Below are 26,026 nucleotides of genomic sequence, written 5' to 3' on the forward strand. Positions count from 1 at the left end.
ACAAAATACAAGTATTTTGAGAAATTCCATTTCACATGACTCCCATCAAACAACCAAAAAAAGGTGGTTTTATAATTATATAATATATATATATATATGTCACTGACTTTATTCTTTTTTTTTTTTTTTTTTGACATGTAGTCTTGCTCTGCCGCCCAAGCTGGAGTGCAGTGGTGCGATCTCAGCTCACCGCAAATCCTGCCTGCCAGGTTCAAGCAATTCTCCTGCCTCAGCTTCCTGAGTAGCTGGGACTATGGCGCGCACCACAATGCCCAGCTAATTTTCGTATTTTTAGTTTCACCATGGGGTTTCACCATTTGGCCAGGCTGGCCTTGAACTCCTGACCTTGTGATTCGCCTGCCCTGGCCTCCCAAAGTGCTGGGATTACAAGCACGAGCCACCACGCCCCGCCAACTGACTATATTCTTAACAGGAAAGAACTTCTATTTGATTATTAGATAAGAACCAAACATCTCACTTCGGTCTGCACATCTCATGATTAGAAGCTCCCGCGACTAGCTCTGGCTGTGTACTTTTCACACTTTGTTGCTCCTGCACCAGCCACAGACATCTGCTGCCTGGTGCCCTCAGACATGTCATATTGTTTTACAACCTCTGACCTTACACTTCTGTGTCGTGATGTCAGGTGGGTTTGCAGAGTGAACAGTAGGAGGACTTCTGGAAGCCCTTCCTCCCCGAGGACAAGCAGCAGTAGCCTATTTCCAAAAGTGACTGCGACCATGTGAATATCTCCCACTGAATTCACTCGAATATGTTCCCAAAGCTAATTTGGCCCGTAGCCACTCCATGCTGCCTGGCCAGAGAGGAAGTGGGATGGGGAGGAAGTCAGAATAGAAAGAGACAATTATCTTAACCAATTACAGATACAATGTCTTCTGCAAATTTTACCAAAAGATGTAATCATGTGAATTTAGACCCTGAGGCATCATCTTCGTTGGCCTAGTGGTAAATCCATCTCTGCTCTGGCTCCTGACATGGTCCTAGTTCCACCAAAACCCTAGGAATAAATATTTGTAATGGTGACTCAACTGCTTGTGAAAATAGACATAGTGGACATAAATCTGAATACACACTCTGACTCTGACTAGCCCTCTGTCTTTGGGCAAGTGGCTTATCTGCACTTGAAACTTAGTTTCCTAATCTGTAAAATGGAAACAATGACACCAATTTCCTGAGGCTGCACTGAGGATTAAACAAGATGTCATCAGTGAAAGCCAAGTACAAAGCTATTGGCGTTGCTGCGGTTGCACACTGAATGAATGAGTGGAAAATGGGGATGTCTGGAAGCCAGCCCCCAGCTTCCTGTGCTAACAACCTCTAAGGCGCCTTCAGCTCAGAAACACCCTATGATTCAAAATCCTCATAGAAAAAAGTCAGGGAAGGATTTAAAGAAATTGTTCCATATGATTTTTCACAGGCTCGTCAGTGACTCTGTGTGGGTCAAAGAAGATTAAGGGCCTCTGGAAATTCAAAGGCTGATTACATCAAATCCTATCCCAGGAGCCAAGAAGGGAGTGTGCACCACAGCTCAATATTCTATGCACAAGCCAGGAGCTTTTAGATAAGCATTTTGGGGGAGCTAACAGAAGGTGAGGGGTTTCCGTAAAGCCATGACTTTAAAACAAATCCTCCGAAGTACAGAGAGCTGAGCTCTGCTCACCACCTCCAAACCCAGCAGTTCCCTCCCTGAGGCTGTGGCCTGGCCCCAGTCTCAGCTCGGACACCCCAGCCACTGATGGAATCCAATTCCTTCCGGCAGCCTCTGAGGGCCAGAAGAACTCAGAAAGGACAGCCTGGGAGGCTGATCATCTCCTGACTTGTCTTCATTCCTGGTGCCTCCTCCAAGCTCTGCTAAAGGTGAGGGGGTGGGGATGTCTCTGCACTAAATGGGGGACAAATTAAGTGGCAGCTTAAGTCTTGTAATAGGTCAGGCAGGTGGTGATGTGAGTGATGCATCTTCAAGACGGTGATCCATCTTCCCCGTCTCCAGAGAGAATGACAGCTCAGCAGAGAGAGAGGAGCACTCTGCGAGGATGGAATCGAGAAGGCTGCCCCTGCAGCCCAACCCTGCTCAAGGCCTTCAGAAGGTCCCCTGGAGCTTGAAGTACCTGCAAAGAGCAGGATCCTAGGAGCCAAAGGAGGTCTCAAGAGCGTGGACTGTTTTTCTCCGCTGCAGAGTCATAGTCATTGTGTTCCTATTGTGTGTCAGACACACACTCATTTAACCTCGCCACAGTCCAGCAAGGTAAGGCTTATTACAGGTGGGAAAATTGAGGCTCCAAGAGGTTACAATGACTTTCCCAGGGTAACATAGAGCCTGAATTCACAAACAGGTAGGGATCTCTGATTACCGCAAGATTGTTGGTTTATTTGTTCTGATCAAAGAAGTCTTGGCTGAGTCTTAAGCACATGCGTATGGACCTGCCCAGGCACGACCACCTTGTGTTCTCTAAGACAGCAAACATTCAGGGCTCCGGAAGAAAAAAATCAAAGGAAAAGCTCCTCAGAAAATTGATCAAAAACAGCAAATAACAGCCAGGGGTGAACTTATGCTGTCTAGACTCAGCAAACAGATGTGGGGCTCAGCAGTTGGCCTGCACCAAGCTCGTGGCAATCTGCCAGTTCCAAACTGGCAAGCTAAGGGCTTTCTTGAAACCCACTGCTCATGTCAGACTCTGGGGTTTTTGTCTTTCTAAGCCCCACCCTTGCCCTTGGTCCAGGAGGTGGCCTTCACAGGGGCTGCTCTCCTTCAGACTTTGCTACCCATAAATCCCAGTGCTCGCACTTGTCCCTAAGTCATTCCGTGACAGTTAATCCAAAGGCCCCATCGTACATTGCCTAATCCCTGATGGTTGAGGTTATCTCTGCCTTCCTGTGCGGTAAAATCAGTTTACTTTTTTCCTCTTTCATCAGTTTGTTTGCATTGAGCTACTGCCTAATTAAACTTTCCTCTCCAGCTTCATCCCCTCAAATCTAACCTACACATCACTGGCAGATTAAATTCACCAAAGCTCAACTGTGATCACATCAGCCCCTACCCACAATCCTTCAATAGGAGCTCCCCTTTGCACAAGGTTACTCTCTATTCCAATATTCACATCACTCTTCATTCAAGCCAGACGGAGCTACCTTGTGTCCCCTGAGGAGAGAGCACATCTCACCACTATTGGGAGTTTTGGTCCACATTTATGGAGGCAGGGAGAGCTGAGTCCCATGGGGGAGGCTCAAGGACCACCTCAGGAATAGAAGAAGTGAGCCAGTATCCATGAGAACATCTGAGGTCTCTCTCCCAAGGGAGTCGGTAGCCACAGACCAGGGCCAACAACTGCAAATTCTGAGATTCAGGAGCATTTTGTTCACCCACATCTGTTCTCTACATTTGTGTCTTTTTCCAGAAAAACCATTACAAGAGAAACAGCTGCAGGGTGGGAGTGCCTGAAGGATGAAGTGGCAGGATCCCATTCTGTAGCATGTGGAGGAGTCCCCAAGGGGGAGAGTGGCAACTGAAAGGGAAACAAACCAGGCCAAATGCCTGGGGAGGGCCGGCAGGAAAAGTCAGCCAGGGACAGACAAATGGTCCTGTGGCTCAGATGTGGGGCAGGCTATCCAGTGCTGGGAATTATCTCAGGACAGCAGTAAGTACTCTTTGTACACCAGTTGAAAAAGCAAACAGATACTGAACAAGTGAAGAAATCTTCCGCCACTCTACCCGGCAGCTGTCCAGTGCTTGTTTCCATAGCATCTGGGCCTCTGCACCATCTGCACTGTGAGAAACGTTAGCCACCTTGCTTCCAAGGGCTCTGCCGGCTTTGGTGTTCTATTTTTTTCTTTTCTTTTTTTCCCTTTTCTCTACTACATGGAAATAAGGCCTGGGAGGATGGGGCCATTTTCAGGCTTGAGAGCACACGTTCCCAAGTAGGCTTTGGAGCAGACTTCGTCTTAGCGAGTCAAAGTGAAGTGAGAAATGAAGGTGATACGTGTTTGTGCTTCACATGTTCCTCTATTTGCTTTCAACATGGACAATATTTAATAGCACATGCAGCTTCTAAATCCTCCTGATATTTCTGGAACTGAGGATTGCTGGAGGCCTCATGTAAAAACGGAGTCCAAATTGGTTTCTTTTGTAAGAAAGGCAATGGCAAGGAAGGAGGCAAACCTAGGTGGCCAGTGGCCTTTCCCCTCCGTTCTTCTCTGCCTGTAAGTGCGTAATTGCCATCCTCAGAGCAAGAAATGCAAAGAGATGTCAAGGGTAGTTTGAACCCCAAAAGTGACAACGTCATGTGCTGGCTTGGAGCTAAGCATTGGGCAGTAATGACCATAATTTAGTCTGGTTTCTACTTATTATTACAGAGGCTGTTAACTGTAACAGAAGAATGAAAATTGCTGGGAGAAGGAAGTAGAGAAACAAAATCGATCCAGGAAATTGGAAAATAAGTGAAATGAACAACAATCAGGCTAAAATAACTACCAGGAAAGGAGAGAGAAGAAAGGGCACACCAAGGGCTTAGGTAGAAATTCACAGGAAGCCCATTGGCGAGGTCTTCTTTGCATCTCTTCTGAGGGATGACCCAGACTGAAACTAGCATATTCCCTGTGTGTTCTCAATGAGAGATGAGGATGGCAGGGCTGTGAAGACACTCTGCCCCCTTTCTTAGAGGAGAAATCATTCACTGCCAGGTCCAAGGGAAGATAGACACCCAAAAGAGCCCTGGCTGCCTGCCTAACAGGACTCAAATCCATAAATGGAGAGATTCTGGAATCTTCACACACCAATTAATAACTAAATTTGGCAAAACCACAGCCCATGACTTAAACCAGAAAGCAGCAGTCTTTTGCAGTAAAAGGCCAGCTAGTATATATTTCAGACTTCGGTCTGATGCAATGACTTTGCATGGTTCCTGATGCAACGACTTGACTCTGCCTTGTAGTAAGAAGGCAGCCATACACAACAACATTAACAAGCGGCTGTGGCTGCCAGCCAGTAAAACTTGCTTTACAAAAACAGGCAGTAGGTCACATTTGGTTCATGAGCCATAGTTCTCCAACCCCCGATTTACATAATAATAACAAATCCTACTTAACGGCACTTTACCATTTACACAGCACCCTTCCTCGCTTAGTCACTGGGTCATCTCTGTAATCTGTGAGGAGGCAGAGTAGGAGTCACTAGACTCATCTGACAGATGAGGAATTGGAGGTTACACAAGGTCACACAGCCTGTGGGCACCAAAAACCGGGACATTGCCTCCCTGTGCGTCTTGGACCCCTGCACGTTTAGCTTGGCTCCTAGTCCTGCTGCCTCCACCTTCCAAGGATCTCAGGCTGAGCTGTGCCACTTCCATTATCCCTGTCTCTGTCCTAGCCCATCTTGTCTTTCATAGGAAATTTCTAACAGTCAGGTTTGAGCATGTCACATTTCTGCTAAAAGCCCATCCATATCCATCCATGACCTGCAAGCTAAGGTCCAACCATCTTGGCCAGGACACAGGACTGTCCTGGCTCTGGCATCTGCCTGACTCTTCGCCCCTTGCTGTGATTTCCTAAACCTCAGTAATTTTAAACAGCATCACATGCCTCCAAGTGCTATGGTAAGCCTGAGCCTTTGCCTTCACTTGCTGTGCCAGAAAGTCTAATCCTGCCCTCTCCCCCTTAATCACACCAGGATTTCTTTGCTAAGGAGGCCTTGAAGGTTTAAGGGATTAAAATGTTCCCAGCAATTAGAAAACCTGGGTTCTAAGTCTAGCTCTGCCAGGAACCAGTGGGCCTCTACCAGTGAGCCCACCCTCAGCACTCAACTCAGCATCTCACCTTGGAGGGTGCCTTCTGACTCATCCCCACACTAGCCTGCCAGGGCTCCCGGGGATTGTAAAAAGCCCTGCTCTGTCTGTTGCCTGAAAACTTGATGCATTCGGGCAGAGATCCTCTTAGTAACCTTTCTATTCCCAAGCACATGGGCCAGTACCTGGTACAGAGCAGACGAATAATGAATGCTGATTGACTGGATGGATAAATGAATGAATCAATGAATGAAGTTCATAGAAGAGAAAACAAATTTTCACATGGACTTTTACTAATAAAGGGTTAGGCTGAACAGAGAGAAAACTTAAAAACTTTTTTTTTTTTGCTTAAATATACAATTTAGACAATTCCCCAGTTGTGCTTCCAATTACTTAGATTCTAAATGACAGAATTTGCATTCTGTAAGACTACCTGCTAATATGCTGATGCTGCCTGATTTGCAGGTAAGTAGCAGGGAAAGGTCTTTGCATGGCTGAGTTCTCTCACATTGATAAAGAATCAGCGACAGCTGACTTGACAATGAACTCCCAGCTCAGAAACCCCCCGGTCCAATTATTTCAGCTATACTCAAGCCTATTGACATTACACACACAGAAGAATGAACAGCAAAACCTATTAATGAGGTTTTTCATAAGATAGAAAAATAAACACAATCTGCAGGAAAGCATACTGACAAGGGGCTCAGCAGAGTATAGAATTAAGATTTCACAAAACAACTAGAATGTCAGGGTTCTTTCCTAGAGTGGCCATGGAACATGAGGAGACTCTATGAGTTGAAACTCCAAAGTCTTTGACCTGACTCAGATCTCTGCAAGTCACTTAGATAAGACTCTGTTTTCTCCTCTGCATAATGGGGGTTATAATCTATGCTCTGCTCACCTCACAGAATGGTTGTGAGGGTTAAAAGAGATGATAGTTGTGGCCTTATTTTCTAAATTGTAAACAACTATAAAGAGGTGAGGAGTTACCCTAGCTTTCATGCCTCTGATCAATCTGGCCATTATTTTTCACTGAAAGGCATCAGGATGATTCCCATATAAAGACAGTGCTTTGAACATTTAGCCTTCTGTTTGAAATAAAACATAAATACATTTGCTAGTACCAAAACATAATTGGGGTAAGGCTAGCACACAACAACGAAATGTCATATGCTAATAGAAACTCCCTAAGGGATGGTGTATCAAAATCAGATTTCAAAGGCAAGAGCCCATTCTGACCAATTAGCAAAGACTGATCAATTTCTAAATATGATTTCCTCCCAAAATAAATATCAAAATCTCTGTCATGTATTTCCCAACATTTCTGAAGCCTGCAAATCAGACAAATCAATCCAGGGAGCTATTGTTGACCACCAACGCCATGTGAGGCACTGTGCTGGGATCTAAAAATACAATGCGACATGATCCTGAGCTCACAGTCCAACAGGGCGACAGTGAAGAGAATAAGTATTCCAGAACAGTGGGAGAGGAGCTGACGCTGAGATCTGAGCAAAATGCTGAGGAAGCACAGAGATAGAAGCCATTCTTTGCACATGTTTGGGCAGTAACTTTCCAAACCACCAGTAACATGGCTGCCCATGGTGCAGTTGGAGTGGCCTTGCAGTGTTTCATTTTGTTATCAGAGAGCATGCAGAAGTGCTTCCCATTTTGCCACCCAAAATGTCTTTCCCAACTTTTTTCATTTGATTGTTTTGTTTTGTTTTTTTAATTTAAAAAAATGTGGTGTATACATATACATATATATACATCCAGTCCCATTGTATATATACATCACATTTTTTAATCAATTCATATGTCAACAAACACTTAGGTTGTTTCCATGCCTTGGCTAATTGTGAATAATGCTGCAATGAACACAGAAGTGCAGATATCTCTATGAGGTGCTGATTTAATTTCCTTCAGGTATATACCTGGAAATTGGAGCTAAATCACAAAGTAGTTCTACGCCAAATTTTTTGAGGAACCTCCATATTGTTTTCCATATGGCTATACTAATTTGCATTCCCACTAACAGTCTACAAGAGTTTCTTTTTCTCTACCTCCTTGCCAACACTTACTGCTTTTCTTTTTGAAGACAAAGGTTTGTAGACAAAGCCTGTAAGAGAGTGTGTACCCCCTAATTTCAGCAGACCCAGGGCTTCCCTGTGTCCCATCAGTCCACATTCAGCTTTCACCAATTAGTGAGCTCTTCCAGCTGAACTATTGCTACTCATGTGTCTATCTCAGGTGAATGTATGTTCATATTTTCTCTCCCATAGGCACTGTCTCTCCTTAGACTCCTCACAAGTCATTACCTTCATGACCTCAGCTCTCCAATGGTTTCAAAAGCAGTCATGCATTTGAAATAAGCCCAGTTCTTTTTCATTGCAAAGGTGGCAGTAATACTCCTTTCATCTCTCTACATCCTGGGGTGGAAGCTGGATTCAGTATGTTTTCATAGCTAATTTTTATTTTAGTTCTTAAGGCTTAATTTGAATGAGATACAAATCTATTCTAACTGGAATGTCATATTCCAATTCATATAGTCTTAAAACATTTTTAAGAATATAAAAAATCTCTCAATATATATCAACCTCCAAGAAATGTTTTTAATCATTGTACACACATAATTATAGAATTTGGGAGGATTATCACTTAGACCCAACAAACACAAACTTTGAACACTACTCTTCAGGTTCCTGAAGCAATTATAATGAGAATAATTTTAAGAAGGACAGAAAACTCCCTTTCTGGAATAACAAGAAGTGGCTGGTGCTGTGAGGAAGTGGGGAAGTCACTCTATTTTTATTTTATATATTTTTTTGCCACTTTAATACTAAGAGTGGTTTTATTTTTAGTTCACTTTTAATTAGTTGTACAGAAGAAGAAAGTTGAGTCAGTTGCAGGCAGCGGGGAAAAAGAGTTATTCTGGCCAACTGCATACTAACTAGAGTCTGGAACCTGGTGAATGGGCATGAATTTAATTAATGACTAACTCTAAGATGGGGGCCTGGTCTTAGTAAATGTTCCCCAGGTGAATACTGTGCCTTCAAGGGTCGGTTTCAGAGAGGCAGCATGGAGAAGAGAGGCAGAGGCACAGAATCACAGCAAAAGGGCTCCAGGAAGACCTATAACTGGTCCAGTCAACATCATCAGGGGAGCAGCAAGACACCACGGGCCTGCTGGTGGGACTTCTGACTGCTAGGCCAGGCAGATGGGAAGTTTACACTCTAGGTTTCTGAGCAGCAGAGATGTTTCCTAAAGATGAGTCTTTCAAGCAAGATGGATTGAAGCAAGGAGCTTGATTCAGGCAGTAGAGCCTAGAGATTAAGTGATGAGGGTCCTGCCTAACCTGCTGGCAATAGGATTGAGACAGAGGTTTGCAACACATGATGAATGCAAAGGAGAATGAATTGTTTTATTGCCTGAATATAGTGAACAAGGGAGAAGGAGGCACAGATGGTTCAGGTTCTATGCCTCAGCCTTGCCTCTGCAGAGATGTGGTGCTGACGGAGAGGCCCATTGGCTGAGGCAAACCAAGTGGCAGGTGAAGGCTGGGCCCACGCAGGAAGGCGGGGCTTATGCAGGTGAAGGCTGGACCCCTGCAGGTGAAGGCTGGGCTTATGCAGGTAAAGGCTGGGCTTATGCAAGTAAAGGCTGGGCCCATGCAGGTAAAGGCTGGCCTTATGCCAGTAAGGGCTAGGCCCATGCAAGTGAAGGCTGGGCCCGGGCAGATGAAGGCTGGACCCATGCAGGTAAAGGCTGGGCCCGTGCAAGTGAAGGCTGGGCCCATGCAGGTAAAAGCTGGACCCATGCAGATGAAGGCTGGGCCCATGCAGGTAAAGGCTGGGCCTGTGCAGATGAAGGCTGGGCTCATGCAGGTAAAAGCTGGGATTATACAGGTAAAGGCTGGGCCCGTGCAAGTGCAGGCTGGGCCCATGCAGGTGGAGCAGCCTGTGCACCATAGGAGAGAACACGAACATGTGCTCTGCAAGCAAGCAGACCTAGATTACCGTCCCATCTCTGCTAATCACTTGCTGTGTGACGTCAGGCAAGTTACCTAACTTCTCTGCCTTGGGTTCCTCAACTGTAAAATGGGGATACTGACCTCAAAGCATTTTGTGAAGTCTAAATTAGAAAACGTTCATCGGTTGCTTTGGCTGGTGCCTGGCTCACAGTATGAAATCAATAACTGAGTCACAATTGTTTAAGTTTGCGTTCAGCAAATGGCTAGTGGAGAACTCCTGCTGGGCCGAGAACTCCTGCCCAGCAGTGGGGAAACAGCAGGGAGAAAAACAGACATTGTCCCTGCACTCTCCTGGAGCTATAAAGCACCAAGCACTACTGATGGCAAGAGCAGCCCTAGAGGCAGGGAGAGGAATGAGCTGGCACATGGAATAAAATGACCCTGCAGTGGGGACAGCAAGGCTGGGGAGGCAAAAAGGCAAAGCAGGCCCTGCGTGCAGTTCCACTTCCAGTCCATCCGTGCCGGATGCTCTTTCTCTCTGCTTGCAAAGTCCAATGTGCAGGGCACACACCCAGGCCCAGGTGGGAAACAGCCGCATCTTTTCTTTCTGTCCACTTCAAAGAATGCCATGCCACCTTCTCCATCAGCTCAGCCCCCAGGCCTCCTCTCCAAGGATTGAAGTGCTAAATGGTGGCCTTGTTTCCGGTCCCAGGAAGTGGGATGGTATCAGGCTTTGCCTGGGAAGACACTGGGTCCTTCTTCTCACGCTGAGAACCACCTGTGCCTCAGTCCCAAGTCAAGTGTGTACTCCTGCTCCACCCAAGGCCAGGCTGGCAGGGACTGGGCTCAATAACCAGAGACCACCACTGAGTTGCCAGGCTGCAGCCACTGTCCTGACCTGGGACTGGGCTCTAACAAGACAGCTACTTCCTTCTTGCTGAGACTACGCTCCCCACAAGCAACTCCTTCAGTCCTGATTCCTGGCCCTGCATCAGTCTCTTCACTCAACACATATCCCCAAGTCCTGCACTGACCAGGTGCTGTCCTGCACATGCGGGCTCAGCCAAACAAGACACTGTCCCTCCATCAACAAGCTCGCTGTCTAGGCCAATCACTGGGAGTGAGGCACTGTGGTCAGTGTGTGGCAGAGAGAAGGGAGCACTGGGGCACCCAGGAGAGGCTCCCAGCCCAGTCCAGAGCAGGGGCCAGGCCAAAAAGCCATCTTAAAGGAACTAGCACCTACATTGAATCTCCAAGGAAGACCAGGAGTCAGCCAGGCGAAGGGACTTTGCAGGCAGGTGGAGAGAGGAGGTGACATTTAAGGAATTGTGAACTGCTCGCTGCCGCTGAGGCTTTTTCCAAACCTGGGGTGATGCCTCATACACCAGTTTGGTCCAGGACTCAAGGCCGGCAGCTGCGACCCTTCCACCTGCACCCCCAGCTCCCTGAAGCCAGTCACCCGCCTGCCAAGAGCTCAGGTGGCACCTGTTCCTGGACTCCCTGAGTCAGGCTTTGGCCACCTGCAAGGCCACCACTGCTGGCTCCTGCCAGGCCTCCCACATGCCACCACCTGCTGGGCTGCCTCCTCTCATTTGTCATTGTCCTCTCTGGGGCCTTGCCTTCTGGGCTTGTGCCCACCTCCTGCAGCCTGGAGGTCCCTGCTACTTGGTCAAGGCTCAGTGACTCATCACCTGTGGGACCCCAGGCCTCCTGATGTGGCCCTTCTGAGCTCTTGATAGGGAGAGGAGGGGTTTGCTGAGCAGTGGAGGCTCCTGAGGGGCTGTTAAACAACTCTCCTCCCAGGATGTCAGCAGACAGGCTAGTGAATCTAAAACAGGAAACTCAAGGCCATTTTCTTTTGGAAATGGTGTTGAATTCCCAGCCCAGAGGGGCAGGGGAGCAGCCAGAAAGAGGGCCAGATAGATCCTCGTGCTCCTTCGGGGGCTGCTGTCAGACGATGGAGACAAGTGCCCACTGTGTCCCAGCATGGGGACCACAAGGCCAGCCACGCACCCTGCCCTCAGCCACTGAGCCAGGGGAGCTTCCAGGGGGCCTTGTAAACAAGCTGGCGACAGGGCCGGGAAGCCAGGCAAGAGCCTGGGGAGTGACAGAGGCAGACAAAAGCTGGAACACAGCTTTGTCCAGGTGCGCATGTCAAGCCAGGACATGCTAGCCGCAGGTATCTGCTGGCTGCCCTCGGCCATGCAGCTGGGGACTTGGGGACCTGAGAGCCCCAAGACCTGGATTTTAGCACAACTGTAATTTGAACAAGATATGTGGCCTCAGACAAATTCCGTTTCCTCTCTGAACCTCAGTTGTGTCACCTGTGAGTTAACCAGAAATCTAGCTTTCTTCAACCACTCGAGGTCTCTGACTTCCCTCCCATTTCAGCTCAGCAACGTCATCCTGAAGCTATCCCAGCACACTCGAACCAAAAAGAAGTTCCCCTCCCATGCGCCACTACATGGTATATATCCTTTTTTTAAATTTTTTCTTTCTTTTATTTTTCTTTCTCTTTTTTTCTTTTTCTTTCCTTCTTTCTTCTTTCCTTTTTTTCATTCGCCAGATCCAATCTCTGCTATGGGTCCACAGTCCTTTATCCAAAACCCTTGTGGCTTCAAAGTTAAATATTTTCCTAATTTTAGAAGGGAATGGAGTGCCTATAATGTATATCAAACCACACCCAGCAAGGTCTCAGGCAGCATCCCACCATTAAGCACAGCAATTCTGCTGCAAAGTATTTGAATATGACACACACATGAAATGGGATACTGATGACTCGGCTCAGATGAAAGAATTGGGATTGCAATCAGGGATTGTGATACCACAGCAGACAGTGATGATCTCAGCAGCATCTTAGGGAGCATACTCCCCTCTGGAGCCCTAGAGCTGGGCTACAGGCCAGCGTGGATGAGAAGGGTTTGTGCAAATACAGCTGATGGCAGAGTGACAGCCTGACAGGCCCCAGCCCTGGGTGCCTGGAACCCGGGTTCCATCTGGGTTTCCACCTCTAATCTGCACGCTTGAGCAAGTTCTGTAACCTGAGCCTGAGTTCTTGTGTCTGTAAACAGAAATCATGATGCCTACCACAGAGCTGTAGGGATGAAATGAGACCAGGTTGAAGGAAGGAGGGAGAGAATGATAGAAATGCAAGGAAAGGGGACTGGGGGGTGACTGCCCAGCCCTGGTTTTCCTCCTCACAGTAGTGCCAAGAGTCTCCTTGTCTGAATTCTCCCCTACCCAGTAAGCTGCTCAGCATATTACTTATCCTTTTCTCTCCATTTCTCAGTACCTAGCAGAGAGTCTTGCAAATTAATGGGGTCTCAATAAATATTTGTTCAATAAGTGAATGAGAGAATCAATTATGGAGGATGCACTCAACGATTATTTGGTGGCTGAACAACGAAGACATCCCACATCTGCCTGTTCCTGAGACTGTGGCCTCTTGTTCGGCTGTCTGTTCTCTAAGCAGCCACCCCAACCTGTCATAACCACTGTGAATAACAGCCGCAGAGCCAGTACACCTCAATCAGTGACCTGAACAGAATTGTGTGCAGGGAGCTGGCCAGGTGAAATGTGTGTGGAATTTATAGCTACACTGGTATTTCATGAAGGTGCCACAGAATAGAAGGAGGCAAGCTGCAGGTGGCTGACAGAAGCACAGGATTTTAAGGTGGACACACCTGTTTGTACATTCCAGCTCTGCCATTCACCAGCTATGACCTTGGAGCAGGAGACCTAACCCTCCAAGGGCCTCAGTCTCCACTTTTATATGGACATAATAATAAAATCTGCCTCCCAGAGTTGTGGAATTAAAATCAAGAAGTAAGCAGCCAGAAGGAAGCTGTTATTATTTTACATCGCAAACCATTCCTCTTCAGAGCAAGACACAGTGTACCATCACCATAATTAGGTTAATGGCTTTAATACGTATTGCAATTAAAGCACCTATATTTGTCTCAGGCATTTTATCACATATCATTTGATGCCATTCTGTCACCGTGGGACTTCCATCAAGTCAGTGATTGATAGATGGCAGGGACCAATTAAGGAACAACCCAGAGTTATTGTGTCTTTTTTGCCTCTTGCTATAAATGTTCTTTCTCTAGTCTCAGAATGTTCAACCCCTACCTCTTTTTTTTTCAAGAGCCAGTTAAAATGAGCTCTTCCCCATGGAAGCTTTCTTTCTTTTCCCTGGTTGCAAGTGTTCTCTCTTCCTTCTATGCTGCCTGTAAAACTCTGATAACTTATTATAGTGACAATGGACTTATCTCATCTACCTTCTTGACTATGAGTATCTTGAGAGCAGAGGCCAGACTTTACTCATCTTTGTCTCTTTAGTGTTCAACATAGACAGTGACACTTAATCTAGCCCCAGCAACTAAGCAATCCCATGATAGAAAATTACAATAAAAGGAAAACTGCTTCATAATGCATTGGGAAATGAATACAGGTCATGTGGCATCCCAACAGCAGCTCTCTTTTCAGTGGGACATTTATGACTAAGACCATATCCATATATTTTCCTTGACTCTAGTGGTTTTCAAACTCAGGTGTGATGCCTCTGGAAATACCAGAAGACTTTTCCAGGAATCTCCAAGCATAGAGAATGTTGAAGGAATCAGCTCCCCACTCATGGATTTCTGAATACCCTTTCCTCAACTTGTACCCAAGAACACTCCACGGTATAGGCTGGCACGATGACCTGGTGGCTGTCGTCTCCCACCTCCCCTTTCACAGCCATCCCTTCCCCACCCTATAAAAGAAAGACATGCCCCTAACTCACCTCGAATGTTGTGGCTTTGCCTCTGCAGCATACAACAAGAAACTACATGTGTCCAGAGGCCTCATCGACTCATGACACTATAAAGCACCTAATCCAGCTAAGACTTCACTTCCAATGACATTTATGTTTTATATTTAGTTAACAGGTATAAAAATTTGCAATATGTATATTTTGCTCTGATAAGTTGCATATTAAAAATAATTGTAATAGCAATCCAATGCAGAAAACAATGTTAACACTTAATAGCCTTAATAGATAAGGGAATTTAAAAATTTAAATTTCAAATTATATGCATATTTTTGATGCAGGAATCCTCAAAGTATGATAGGGTGAATAACAAAAAGATTTTTAAGTGTAAAAATATGTTAATTTAAAATTCTGAAGGGGAAGAACAGTAGAAATTCAAAGTACAGGAGAGAAAGGAAAAACAAATTTGTAAGTGTTAAAAATAATTTATGTATTGTATTTTTTAAAGGATGATGGTGCATATAAAATAACTCTTACATTCCTGTGCATGCATTAAAAGAAGAGATGGAGCATTTTTGCTATAAAATGTCAATAGTTTACAGTAAGCCAGAAATTATGTCATTTGCAGCTCTTTATAAGCATGATTAAAATGTTTAGATATTAAAGAAGAAGGTACATTGATTTTAAAATTATTTCAGAGGTATGCCATATTCCTCTTATCTGGACAACAAACAAATGATCTGATAAAATCTGAGATAGCAAAGATAACAAGGAAAATACTAACCATGAAATAGAAAGTCAAAGAGAATAATATCGCATGCATAGAGGGCAAGGCAGGAAGGAACTCAGGGGCCCCAGATTCTAGCCCTAGCTCTATCTCCAAGTGTGTGACCTTGAACCAGGTCTAAGCCTCGGTTCACCCACAAAATGAGGGAGGTGGACAGGAAGTTCTGTAAGTCTCTTCTTTGGTTCAAAATATTCCATCACCTAATTTTGAGAAAGCAGCAACAACTCAGAGAGGTAGAATAAACCCCAAATTGACACAGTCTGAGTTAAACTTCTCAGATAAAACTCTCCAGACCTGAGTCCTCCAGAGAAAGGGAGATGAAAGAAGCCTAGTGTCCTTTCCCCTGCAGACCCGGGGGGATCTCGGGGTCCAGTTATCAAAAAGAAGCCTAGGGCACGTCCATGTGGAAAAAAAACTGTTCCATGTGGAGAAAGATTCAAGAAACATGACTGGTAGATGTACCATGTGACTCTGAACATCCGGTTATCTAAAGAAGCCTAGGGCAGCCTGCACACTTACCTCAAGACACGTTAGAGAAGGAAGGAAGGAAAAGGAGCAGAAAGAGTAGGCACCTCTTCTTTCTGAGTCACACTTCAAATCCTAGCAACAAAAGAGGCAGCTTTACTTCCCTCCTTGTGAAAAAAAAAAAATAGAAGAGGGGGACTAGCCACTAGATTTTTGAGGCATTATGGTGGGGTGAGGGAGTGGTGTTTCCAAAACCAATCGAGATCATTGCTTTGTCATGGAGGTCAACAATCCCCTCCAAACAGGACTCTTCAGTTCAATGTATGTGCGCTTTAGAAGCACTCCATGCTACATTTGCTAATTTCTCAACATGCGACAGCCACTCTGTGCTAAGCTCTTCACACACTCTCTTTCCATCATTTCAGCAACTTGAGATAGGTATTACTACCCATTTCATAGGTAAGGAAAGCCATGTGCAGAGAGGTTAGGTAAGAAGCCAAAGGCTAATCAGCTAGTAATACAAAGTCAATGCTGAGGCCACATCTGCTGGTTTCTGAAACCTAAGAGGGAGTAGACTTGAGTTTAAGCAAAGTTCTACCACTATCTACTAGTGTGGCTTGGGAGGGCACTGAAGAAGGAGAAGGTGATCACAACTGCCCACTTTACATAGCTTTCATTCTCACAGCCACCATTTTGTGTAGGATTCTTCTCATGCCCGCTTTCCAGTTGAGGAAACTGAGACTCTGGGCACCTAAATAACTTGTGTATGCAGAATAAGTGCTGTAACCTGGACTCAAACTCCATAACGTTATGGTTTATGTGCACTGTACCCAATTGAAGGGAACAGATGTTGGGAATGTTCACCATCAGCATCTCTGTATCCTTCAGACCAACATAGAAACACACTTGCACTCCTCCTTCTAAAGAACCTCCAGATCGGGCCAACTGATCAGATGTGTCACATGCTCTCCTCTTTGGAAGGCAGCCCATGATGAGGGCCTCCTGGATATGTTTCCAGGGCATCTTTTAAGCATCATTTCCAAGCAGCACTTTCCACTCTGTGCTCCACTGAACACCAGTTTTGTTGCAAGATGTTAATAGAGAGTCCAAAAAACAGAAACATTGTTTTCTGGCCAAATAAATTTGGGACTGAGATTATCACCCTCCTGAGGATTCAGAATGTCCATTAACATGTTAAAAGGCATTTTAAAGTCTTGTGGCAAGGAAAGTTGTGTAACTGTTTAACTGAGATACAGCTTCCGACTTTGGGATATGTCATCTACTATGTCTGGCACTAGAAGATAGACATTCATCCACAGCTCCCCATGTGATGTTGGACTGGATACATTCACTCGAAGCAATGGTGTAGAATGAGAAGAGAAGGAAAGCAAGGGGAAATCACGAACAAGCATCAATATTTTAGGGATGGGTAAAGGAAAATAACAGTAAAAAGCCAAGGGAACAGGAGGTTTCAAGAAAAAAAGACATGATCAACTGTGTTTTCTGCTGCTGAAGGATCTGGAAGAGGAAGACTGAGATAAGAACACCAGTGACCTCCCAGAGAGAGTACTTTGCAATACAGTGGGTGAGGTGCAACCTGACTGCAAACAAAAGTAATCATGAGCCCTTCTTCTACCTTCTCCTATTCATGCTCCTCTCCTCTACTCTTCCTGAATAATCCAGTCCTAAAGCCATTGAGTGAGGCTGACCAAGGTGGACATCTTCTCCAGCTGGGGGGCGGGGGGCTGGAAGAGCTGCAGTGTCCATATGAGGGGTATAGGAGTCAGAGAATGGTGAGGAAAGCATCCACACAGACAGGACAGGTGAGGATGTCAAGGGATGGCCAAGAACAGGAAGTAAGAACCTGAGCCTGGAGCAGCAGAGCAGCCCAATGAGGAGGTGTGTGCACGGTCTATGGCAAGGATGGGAGGTTGTTTACACATAGGGAGAGGAACAAGTTAGAAAATACAGCATGGCAATGGGAGTCGGGTTTCTCCCTTTTAGAGAGTCACAAATATGGAAAGGAAGAGATCTAGACTGGACTTCTTTGTGTTGGATTAGAACTACATATATTGTGAAAATGTATGGTTTTCAATATACAGCAGATCCCAAAATGCAGTTGTAGTTTTAAGCTTTGATACCATCATAGTATAAATTCTGCAAATTTGTACACTATTTGAAAGATGATTTACATTCCTTTTACTTGTATTTAATTTTTGTAAATTTTGAACTACACAATTTTAAGTTTTCAGTCCCTCTGAATATAATAAACATTGACTAAAAAATTAAAAATGGATTCAATTATATTATATTTTTTAGAGTCTCCTGGAAGTAAAAAAAAAAAAACTGAGAAACTGTTCCATGAGCAAAAAGATTCAAGAAACATGACTGATAGATGTACCATGTGACTCTGAAATGGATCTATTTTCTCTAAAGGCTGTTTACTGGAACTTTTGGCAAAACCTGAATGGGATAAAGGATTAGATGATAGGAAAGAATCAATGTTAATTGGATGATTTTGTGTGTATATTGTGGTTATGCGGAAGACTGTCCTTCTCTACAGGAAATATTCTCTAAAGTATTTGGGTATGATGGGGTATCAGGACAACAACCTACTGTCAAATGCTTCAAGAAAAGTTTTTTACTGCATTTGTAACGTTTCTAAAATTTGAGACTGATTTACAATTGTTTTTAGTTAAAGAGGAAATGTGGACTCATATGAGACTCCATTTTCTCATCTGTCGAATGGGAGTGTTTGTGTCTATGGAGGTCTATTAAGAAAATAATCATCTGTATTTTACCTGGGAAAATGCTATGCACACATGAGACACTCACTACAGAACATCTGGAGAAACACTGAACTTGAGCTAAGCTTTTGGCAAAGGCTGGCTGTGTCAAAGGCAGGAAGGAACTCCTTGGCTCTAAGGAAGCGGGAGCAGGGTTGAGTGTAGGGTAAGTTTTATGTCAGGTTGCTTTCTTGTGCTCTTCAAAGCAGGTTAGACATCACACTATTCAGAGGCGGGGACCAAAGACCCAGCCCTAATTTCCCTTTTCTTTTTTTTTTCTTTTTTTTTTTTTTTGACGGAGTCTCACTCTGTCTCCTAGGCTGGAGTGCAGTGGTGCGATCTCAGCTCACTGCAACTTTCGCCTCCCAGGTTCCATTGATTCTCCCACCTCAGCCTCCAGAGTAGCTGGGGTTACAGGCACTTGCCACCACGCCCGGCTAATTTTTTATATTTTTAGTAGAGATGGGGTTTCACCATGTTGGCCAGGCTGGTCTTGAACTCCTGACCTCAGGTGATCTGCCCCCCTGGGCCTCCCAAAGTGGTGGGATTACAGGTGTGAGCCACCGCACCCTGCCCTAATTTCTAATGGTCATCGACATTTGCAAAGCCAGCCTAGACCTGTGGCCTCAGCCTGGCTGTCAGGCCCCTCAGGCAGCCTTACAGAAACAGCTCATCTTTCCAGATGCAAGCACTCCGTGTTCTCAGCAATAACAATTGTGGCTTCATTGCAAAAATCCAAAACACCAAATACAGAAATTTGAAAAAAAAAAAAACTGTTGCAGGATAGCTGAGTGATTGGGCAGAAGAGAGAGAGAGACTGTTCTTGGACCTTTGATACCTTTTTTTTTTAAGTTCCAAGTTTATTCTAGGCAATTTTTAAAAATTTATTTTTCCATAAGTTATTGGGGAACAGGTGGTGTTTGGTTACATAAGTTCTTTAGTGGAGATTTGTGAGATCCTGGTGCACCCATCACCTGAGCAGTAGCCACTGCACCATATTTGTAGTCTTTTATCCCTCACCAACCTCCAGCTCTTCCCCCAAGTCCCCAAAGTCCATTGATCATTCTTATGCCTTTGCGTCCTCATAGCTGAGCTCCCACATATCAGTGAGAACATACAATGTTTGGTTTTCCATTCCTGAGTTACTTCACTTAGAATAATAGTCTCTAATCTCATTCAGATCATTGCAAATGCTGTTAATTATTCCTTTTTATGGCTGAGTAGTATTCTATCTCATATATACCAGAGTTTCTTTATCCACTCGTTGATTGACAGGCATTTGGGTTGGTTCCATGATTTTGCTATTGTGAATTGTGCTGCTATAAACATGCGTGCGAAATATCTCTTTACTCCTGTAAGAATGGCCATAATCAAATTATCAAAAAATAGTAGATGTTGGCGCGGATGCAGCAATCAGGGAACACTTCCACACTGCTGCTGGGAATGTAAACTAGTACCACCGCTATGGAAAATAGTGTGGAGATTCCTTAAAGAACTAAAAGTAGAGCTACCATTTGATCCAGCAATCCCACTACTGGGTATCTTCCCAAAGGAAAAGAAGTTATTATTCGAAAAAGATGCCTGCACACCTTTGGTATCTTTTGAGTTTAAAATCATATGAATCGATCAGTGGTTCTCAATGCAGAGCGTGGGAAGAAATTTCGCCCCCTAGAGGACAATGGGCAACATCTGGAGACATTTTTGGTAGTCACAGCTGGGGAGAGGAGTGTTACTGGCAGCTAGTGGGTAGAGGCCAAGGATGCTGCTCAATATTCTACAATGCCCAGGACAGCCCCCACAACAAAAATTGTCCAGTCCAAATTGGTGTCAACAGTGCAAAGGTTAAGAAACCCTATAATTTATTATCTAACAAGAAATATCCACAAATAAAAGTTTGGCTGCTGCTTTGAATCAAAAAGTATATTTCTACCACATGATTGAGCAGGCAGCTGTTGACATCTTAATGGGCTAAAACATGTGCACAACATAAGGTTGAAGTTCCCAGTTCTCAAGCCCAGCGTGACAATATAGAGCATTTAACACTCACCCAGCTTATTCTAATCTAGGTTATTGTACTCAGTGGGGGAAAGATAACATCCTTGAGGCAGAAATGGCATGGGGTAATAGAAAGCAGCTGGGATTATGGGGTCAGGAGGCTAGAATTTAATTTTGGTTCTATTGCTTACAACTTTCACAACTGGCCGGGAATCTCCACTTTCCCTCCTCTGTAATGTGGCGAATGTCCTCAAATTGTTATCTGTTCCACCCTTTAGCTGACTATTTGTTGACTTGTGCACTACATGCCAGGAGATAGATTAAAGCCGACCTCCAAGGCCAAATCCCTTAGGTTTCCTTCTGACCTTCTTGCTCTTTAAAATTTCTATTCCCAGAGGCCTTGCTACAAACACCAGCTTCAGTATCTGCTTCTAGCCCATCTGTTTGAGCAATGTTCTGTCTTCCCCACTGGCCTTTGAACCTCCATGTCTCAAAGGCTCTCTGTTCAGCCCCTGTTTTGGGATTCCCTCTATTTTTCTGATCCCTGGTCCTTGCAAAATCTGTCCCCAGACTGAGATCAATGCAGATTTCACTTCTATATCTTGCAGAGGAACGTGGATTCTTGTGAGATGATTGATACAGAGACAATTTGTAAACTCCAGTGGGCTCCACAAATTTAGGGAAATTGTTTTCATGAGGACAACACCTTACTGTCTCATAGCCTTAGGGCCTGGCACCAAACCTTGTACATAACTGCTGTACAGTAAATGTTCCTTGTTGATGAAGCAGCTCATTATTTGTGGATTTTTTCTTTTTTTTTATTTTTTAGATAATGAATTATAAGGTTTCTTAACCTTTGCATTGTTGACACTTTGGACTGGACCCTGCCCATTCTCATAGAGCCAACCCATACTGGGGAAGATAAGCAGATGCCCCCAGAAGGCACAGTGAGGCCTATCAGGAAATAAGCCCATGCCTGAGTGATGGACAGGGCCCCTTCAGAGACCACCTCACATAGAACCCTGGGAGCCCAACACAGCCAGCAGAGACCTCCCTCGCACTGACCTGATTAGATCCCACCTGGGGAGTTGAACTTTCATGTTTCATAGCAAGTGTACCCAGAGAAAGGCAATCATGTTGGAGAGAGGTCTAGATTCTGTCTCTCATGAGAACAGGCTGAAGAAATCAGAGATACTGGGACAAGAGAAGACTTGGGCTGAAAACTTATTCTGTGAAGCTCTGGAGGCCTGAATTATAATGAAAGAGGAGATTTCAGCTCAGCATAAAGAAAACCTTTCCAGCAATTAGAGTCAGGTGACAGCAAAAAGGCTAAACCACAGGAAAGCATGTATTTGTAGTCATGAACTAATGATGGTAGGGAAGGATAGCAGTGCTGCTAAAAAAAAAAAAAAAACAAAAAAAAAAACAAAAAAAAAAACACTCCACGTAGAAGTGTCGTCATTTAACACAGCAAGCAAATGCCTCATCAAGAGTAAGCTCACCTGGATCCTAGCTCTGCCGCCAGCATGCTGAGTGACGCTGAATGAGTCACCTAATGTTACTAGGCCTCTGCTCAGTCATCTATAAAAGGGGGATAATTGAACCCATAAGCATCAAAATGGAATAAAATCTGTAAGCTCACTTTGGAAAAGCATAAAATGAGATGTGGACGTGGATTTGTGTCTCAAATCTCCATCCCCCCTGCCATGTCCGGGGAGCACATTCCCCGCTTGGCAGCAGCTCCTCCCCACCTGCGTCCCCATGCAGCTCGAGTCTCAGGACCACCACCTGTGCATAAGTGAAAGTGTCTTTAGTGACAGCAGCATGGAGAGAGCTCTTGATTTAATGAACTCGGTGGACTGCATTGGGCTGTCTGCAGGAAGATCATATTTTATTGAAACAAGGCAGAACACAAACACAGGGCATGCTGAGCCCCTGTTTATTCCTCCCCTGATCCTGGGAGGCATCGGTGACAAGCTAGGCGCACACAGGGCAAGCCTCCTGCTCAGGACTCAGTGTTGGGGGTGGGTCCCAGGAGGCAGATGAGGGAGCACACACAGCCCTGCTGGGTCAGTGCAGGGAGGATGGGACTTCGAGTCGGGGAGGGGGAAGAAGGGGAAACTGAGGATCCTAGATCTACTACTTTCTCGTGGGTGATTTAAAACTAATATTGTAAGCTCTCTGAGCCTCAATGTTTTCAGCTGTAAAATTGGGGTGATTATCATAATCCTCCCTTCAGAGGTTGCTGGGAGGATTAAATGAGATAATGATGGACATAGCCTTAATCACAAGAGAAATAAGGGAGGCACAAGCCTCACTGCCCCGACTTCCCAGTAAACAAAATTGGTATAGCTGTCAGACACAACATAGGTGGCTCAAAAGTATGAGAAATCAGCCACATAATTTATGACATGAAAATGGGCTCAATTATTCTGTAACACGTGTAAAAAAAATTACAATGTTTTCACTTATACAGAAAATAAAAACAAAGAGAAGCCTTAAGTACTTGCTTCTGAGAGAGGCTGGAAAGGATCATTCAGGGCTCAGGATGAGATGATAAAACTTGCGTCCCAGGGAATTTGGAAGCAGAGACACAAGACTCACGCTCTTGGTATAAACGTAAGTCTTTTCCATACATGCACGTGCTCACCTGTGTGTGCACACACACATACATTCGGATGTAACTGCAACTAAGGTGTTGACTGAGATGCAGCCTGGTATGAGGAAAAGAACAAGGCTCTGGAGTTCAACCTGCATCCCAGGTTTGGGGTTTTCTTATTAGCTTCATGACTCTGGGCAAGCTGCATAATAACTAATTTTCAAAGCTATCATGAAGATTAAATTAAATCAAATATGTAAATGTCCTAATCTAATGCTTGGCACATAGTGACTATCTGATAAGTGGTAGTTTTAAATGGTAGCTGTTATCTGCATAAATGCATGTGATTTCATTAAAATGCTCCTGTGTGTTGGTAGAAATGAAGCCCATTTGAGCTGATGTCATCAAGGTCACAGGGCACATACATGGTGGTTGGGGTACTAATCCACAGTTTCTGCATCCCAGTCCTGCCCCTGAGAGAAATTCATCAAGCGGGAGTAACATTGCAAACAGCTGGCTTCGCCCAGGACCCCAATAGCATACTCCAGAAGGCTGTTCTCTGGCTCCTTTCCAGCTCTGTGAGTGGTGACAATCCAGAAAGACACCATGTCAGTGTGTTCATGGGAACCATTTGTTTGCCAAATCCCTTCTTGAATACATGGCTAAAACCCTTAGTTTATAATTCTTCACCTGTGGTTTCACAGGCGAAGATAAGCAAACCTTAAAGCAAAGCATTATATCATTGAAGCAGCAAGAGTATGTACATGTCAGGAGAGCAGGGAAGAGGAAGAAAGCCAGGGGTGCAGCATGAAGCAAGACAGTGATCCTCAGCCCTTCCAAGATGTGCAGCCGAGACCCCAAGAAGCACCTTCCAGATTCTTAAAAGGAGAGCAGCCACAGAAGGTGCCATCTGCTGGAATTCAGTTGGGCCATCCCCAGTTTCGGGCAACATTGGGGTCATCCCACATTAATAAGATAGGTCCTTCCGGGATTCTCCTTTGAAAAAGAAAGCTGTGTTACTGCTGCCTGGTTTCTGGTACCCTGTAGCATTTCTCCAAGACTCAGGCTTTACAATCTCACCTGCCACAACTTTGGATCAGAAAGCATGTCTCAGCCATTGAGCTTGAAGGTTACCTCTCTGAGCACCATCTATTATCCTGTGTTATCGCTAAACAGAAAATGTAGTCGGTCAAGCTGCACAGAGCGATGAGATGCATGCCTGAGCTGCCAATTGGGCTATTTATACTAGAGGAAGGATATTTTAAAACCCCATGTCAGTATCTAACCCAGCATGATCCTTTTATGTGCAATTATCCCCCAGTTTGGCATGAAATCCAAATAAATGTTTAGAAATGCTCGAACCTCCAGATGAAAGCTGTAATCAATGTATCAATGATTTTCTTCTAAAGGGCATGCAATCAAAAAGAGGAACCAGCATATTAGAGCAATTAATGGAAATTATAGAGAGTGGTGAGGACAATGGTTTTGCATTCTGGTTTCAAACTTTTTTAGGATTTAGACATTGTCATCTCAAAATTTGTTGTGGCTGACACCTAAACTCTGATTAACATTCATGGTTTACAAAGGACATCACACATGTAGACTGAACATTGCAAATAGTAAAATCCGAAAGACAAGAACCTGCCACATGGAACTTGAAATGTGAACAATATGTAAGCTACATGGCAGAAGGAAACTAAGCAGTCAATCAAAACAATGCAATCAGGAGAGGGACACTAGTCTTAGGCAAGGAGGAGAGATTCAGGAATCCTGGGAATAAGCCCAAGGTTATAAGCCCATGCAGTGCCCTCTGTAGCCAACTCTGTGCCTGACAGATGCATCTAGCTATGGCTTGTTGGGGATTCAGCTGTTCCCCACAAGCAACTTCAAATGGTTTGTCTATGTTGCAAACTTCCCTGTCTAACCCATTGTCAATCCTTGACTCTAAAATCATCCTTCTCGTGGAGTGTGGGCAACTCCAGTACAAATCCGTGTCTTTGTATTTTCATCCTTCAGTTCAGTGCCTGACAGAGAACAGATGCCCAGGAAATGCTTGTGCTTATACAATTATGTGCAGTTAAGAATGGACTTCTCATATCTATTTAATGTTTAGGCAGGACCTCCTTTTTGAATTTCTAGAAATGTGTGTGCATCTTTCAAGGCCCCCTGTTCATTGGCTCATCCCAGGAGCCTTCCTTAAGCTCTGTAGCTCACGGTGGTCTGACCCTCCTCTGAGCTCCAAAATCACTCATGGCCCCATCTTTCTTTAGGTATCTCCATCTAGCCTGTAAGCTCCTGGAGGATGGACAGAATGTCTTTTTGATCATCACATTTTTCACAACTGATTTTTCAATATATAACGTTTTATGGACCAAATTGTTTCCCCTTTCCCAAAATTCATATGTTGAAGCCCTAACCCCCAGCATACCTCAGAATGGGAGTGTATTTGTAGATAGGGACTTTAAGGAGGTAATTAAGGTTAAATGAAGTCTTAAAAGTGGGGCTGTAATCCGATATGACTAGTGTCATTAGAAAGGAAAGAAAGAGGCATCGAGAATGTGCACACACAGAGAACAGGCCATGTGAGGACTTCTTACAAAACATATGCAAGAAGGTGGCCATCTGAGAGCCAAGGAGAGAGGTCTCAGGAGAAACCACATGACCACTGCCTTGATCTCCAACTTTTACCCTCCAGAATCATGAGAAAATAAACTTTTGTTGCTTAAGCCACTCAGTCTGTGATGTTTTGTTATGACAGCCCTAGGAAACTAATATATAAGATATAGAGTGTGGAGCTATCTTTTATTTGTTCTATCTCCCATAAGCAGTAGAAGGGGAAGCTGGGACACAGAAGAAAGAGGGCAGTAGAATGTTCT

The 26,026-nt window shown here is 44.7% G+C and overlaps 1 protein-coding gene across 2 annotated transcripts in view, besides 5 other annotated features; it reads right to left on the reverse strand.

Moving 5' to 3' along the window:
• NBAS (NBAS subunit of NRZ tethering complex) overlaps nt 1–26,026 on the reverse strand; it is a 782,426-nt gene that overhangs the window by 259,090 nt on the left and 497,310 nt on the right. The gene's annotated exons all lie outside the window — the stretch shown is intronic.
• Nucleotides 4,676–5,176: an enhancer, noted in NCBI's record as "H3K4me1 hESC enhancer chr2:15182798-15183298 (GRCh37/hg19 assembly coordinates)". NCBI's record gives its function as "activates a minimal SCP1, AML or CMV promoter by ChIP-STARR-seq in primed H9 embryonic stem cells {active_cell/tissue: H9 hESC(primed)}" and the evidence as "EXISTENCE:reporter gene assay evidence [ECO:0000049][PMID:30033119]".
• Nucleotides 4,676–5,677: a biological region, named in NCBI's record as "H3K4me1 hESC enhancers GRCh37_chr2:15182798-15183298 and GRCh37_chr2:15183299-15183799".
• Nucleotides 5,053–5,253: a silencer, noted in NCBI's record as "peak3603 fragment used in MPRA reporter construct". NCBI's record gives its function as "represses an SCP1 promoter by STARR-seq MPRAs in K562 erythroleukemia cells {active_cell/tissue: K562}" and the evidence as "EXISTENCE:reporter gene assay evidence [ECO:0000049][PMID:32103011]".
• Nucleotides 5,177–5,677: an enhancer, noted in NCBI's record as "H3K4me1 hESC enhancer chr2:15183299-15183799 (GRCh37/hg19 assembly coordinates)". NCBI's record gives its function as "activates a minimal SCP1, AML or CMV promoter by ChIP-STARR-seq in primed H9 embryonic stem cells {active_cell/tissue: H9 hESC(primed)}" and the evidence as "EXISTENCE:reporter gene assay evidence [ECO:0000049][PMID:30033119]".
• Nucleotides 5,727–6,021: a silencer, noted in NCBI's record as "tiled region #966; HepG2 Repressive non-DNase unmatched - State 21:Repr, and K562 Repressive non-DNase unmatched - State 22:ReprW". NCBI's record gives its function as "represses a minimal TATA promoter and a strong SV40 promoter by Sharpr-MPRA in HepG2 and K562 cells {active_cell/tissue: HepG2 | K562}" and the evidence as "EXISTENCE:reporter gene assay evidence [ECO:0000049][PMID:27701403]".

This window comes from Homo sapiens, chromosome 2, assembly GCF_000001405.40.
Source record: "Homo sapiens chromosome 2, GRCh38.p14 Primary Assembly".
In the NCBI taxonomy this organism is placed as follows: Eukaryota; Metazoa; Chordata; class Mammalia; order Primates; family Hominidae; genus Homo; species Homo sapiens.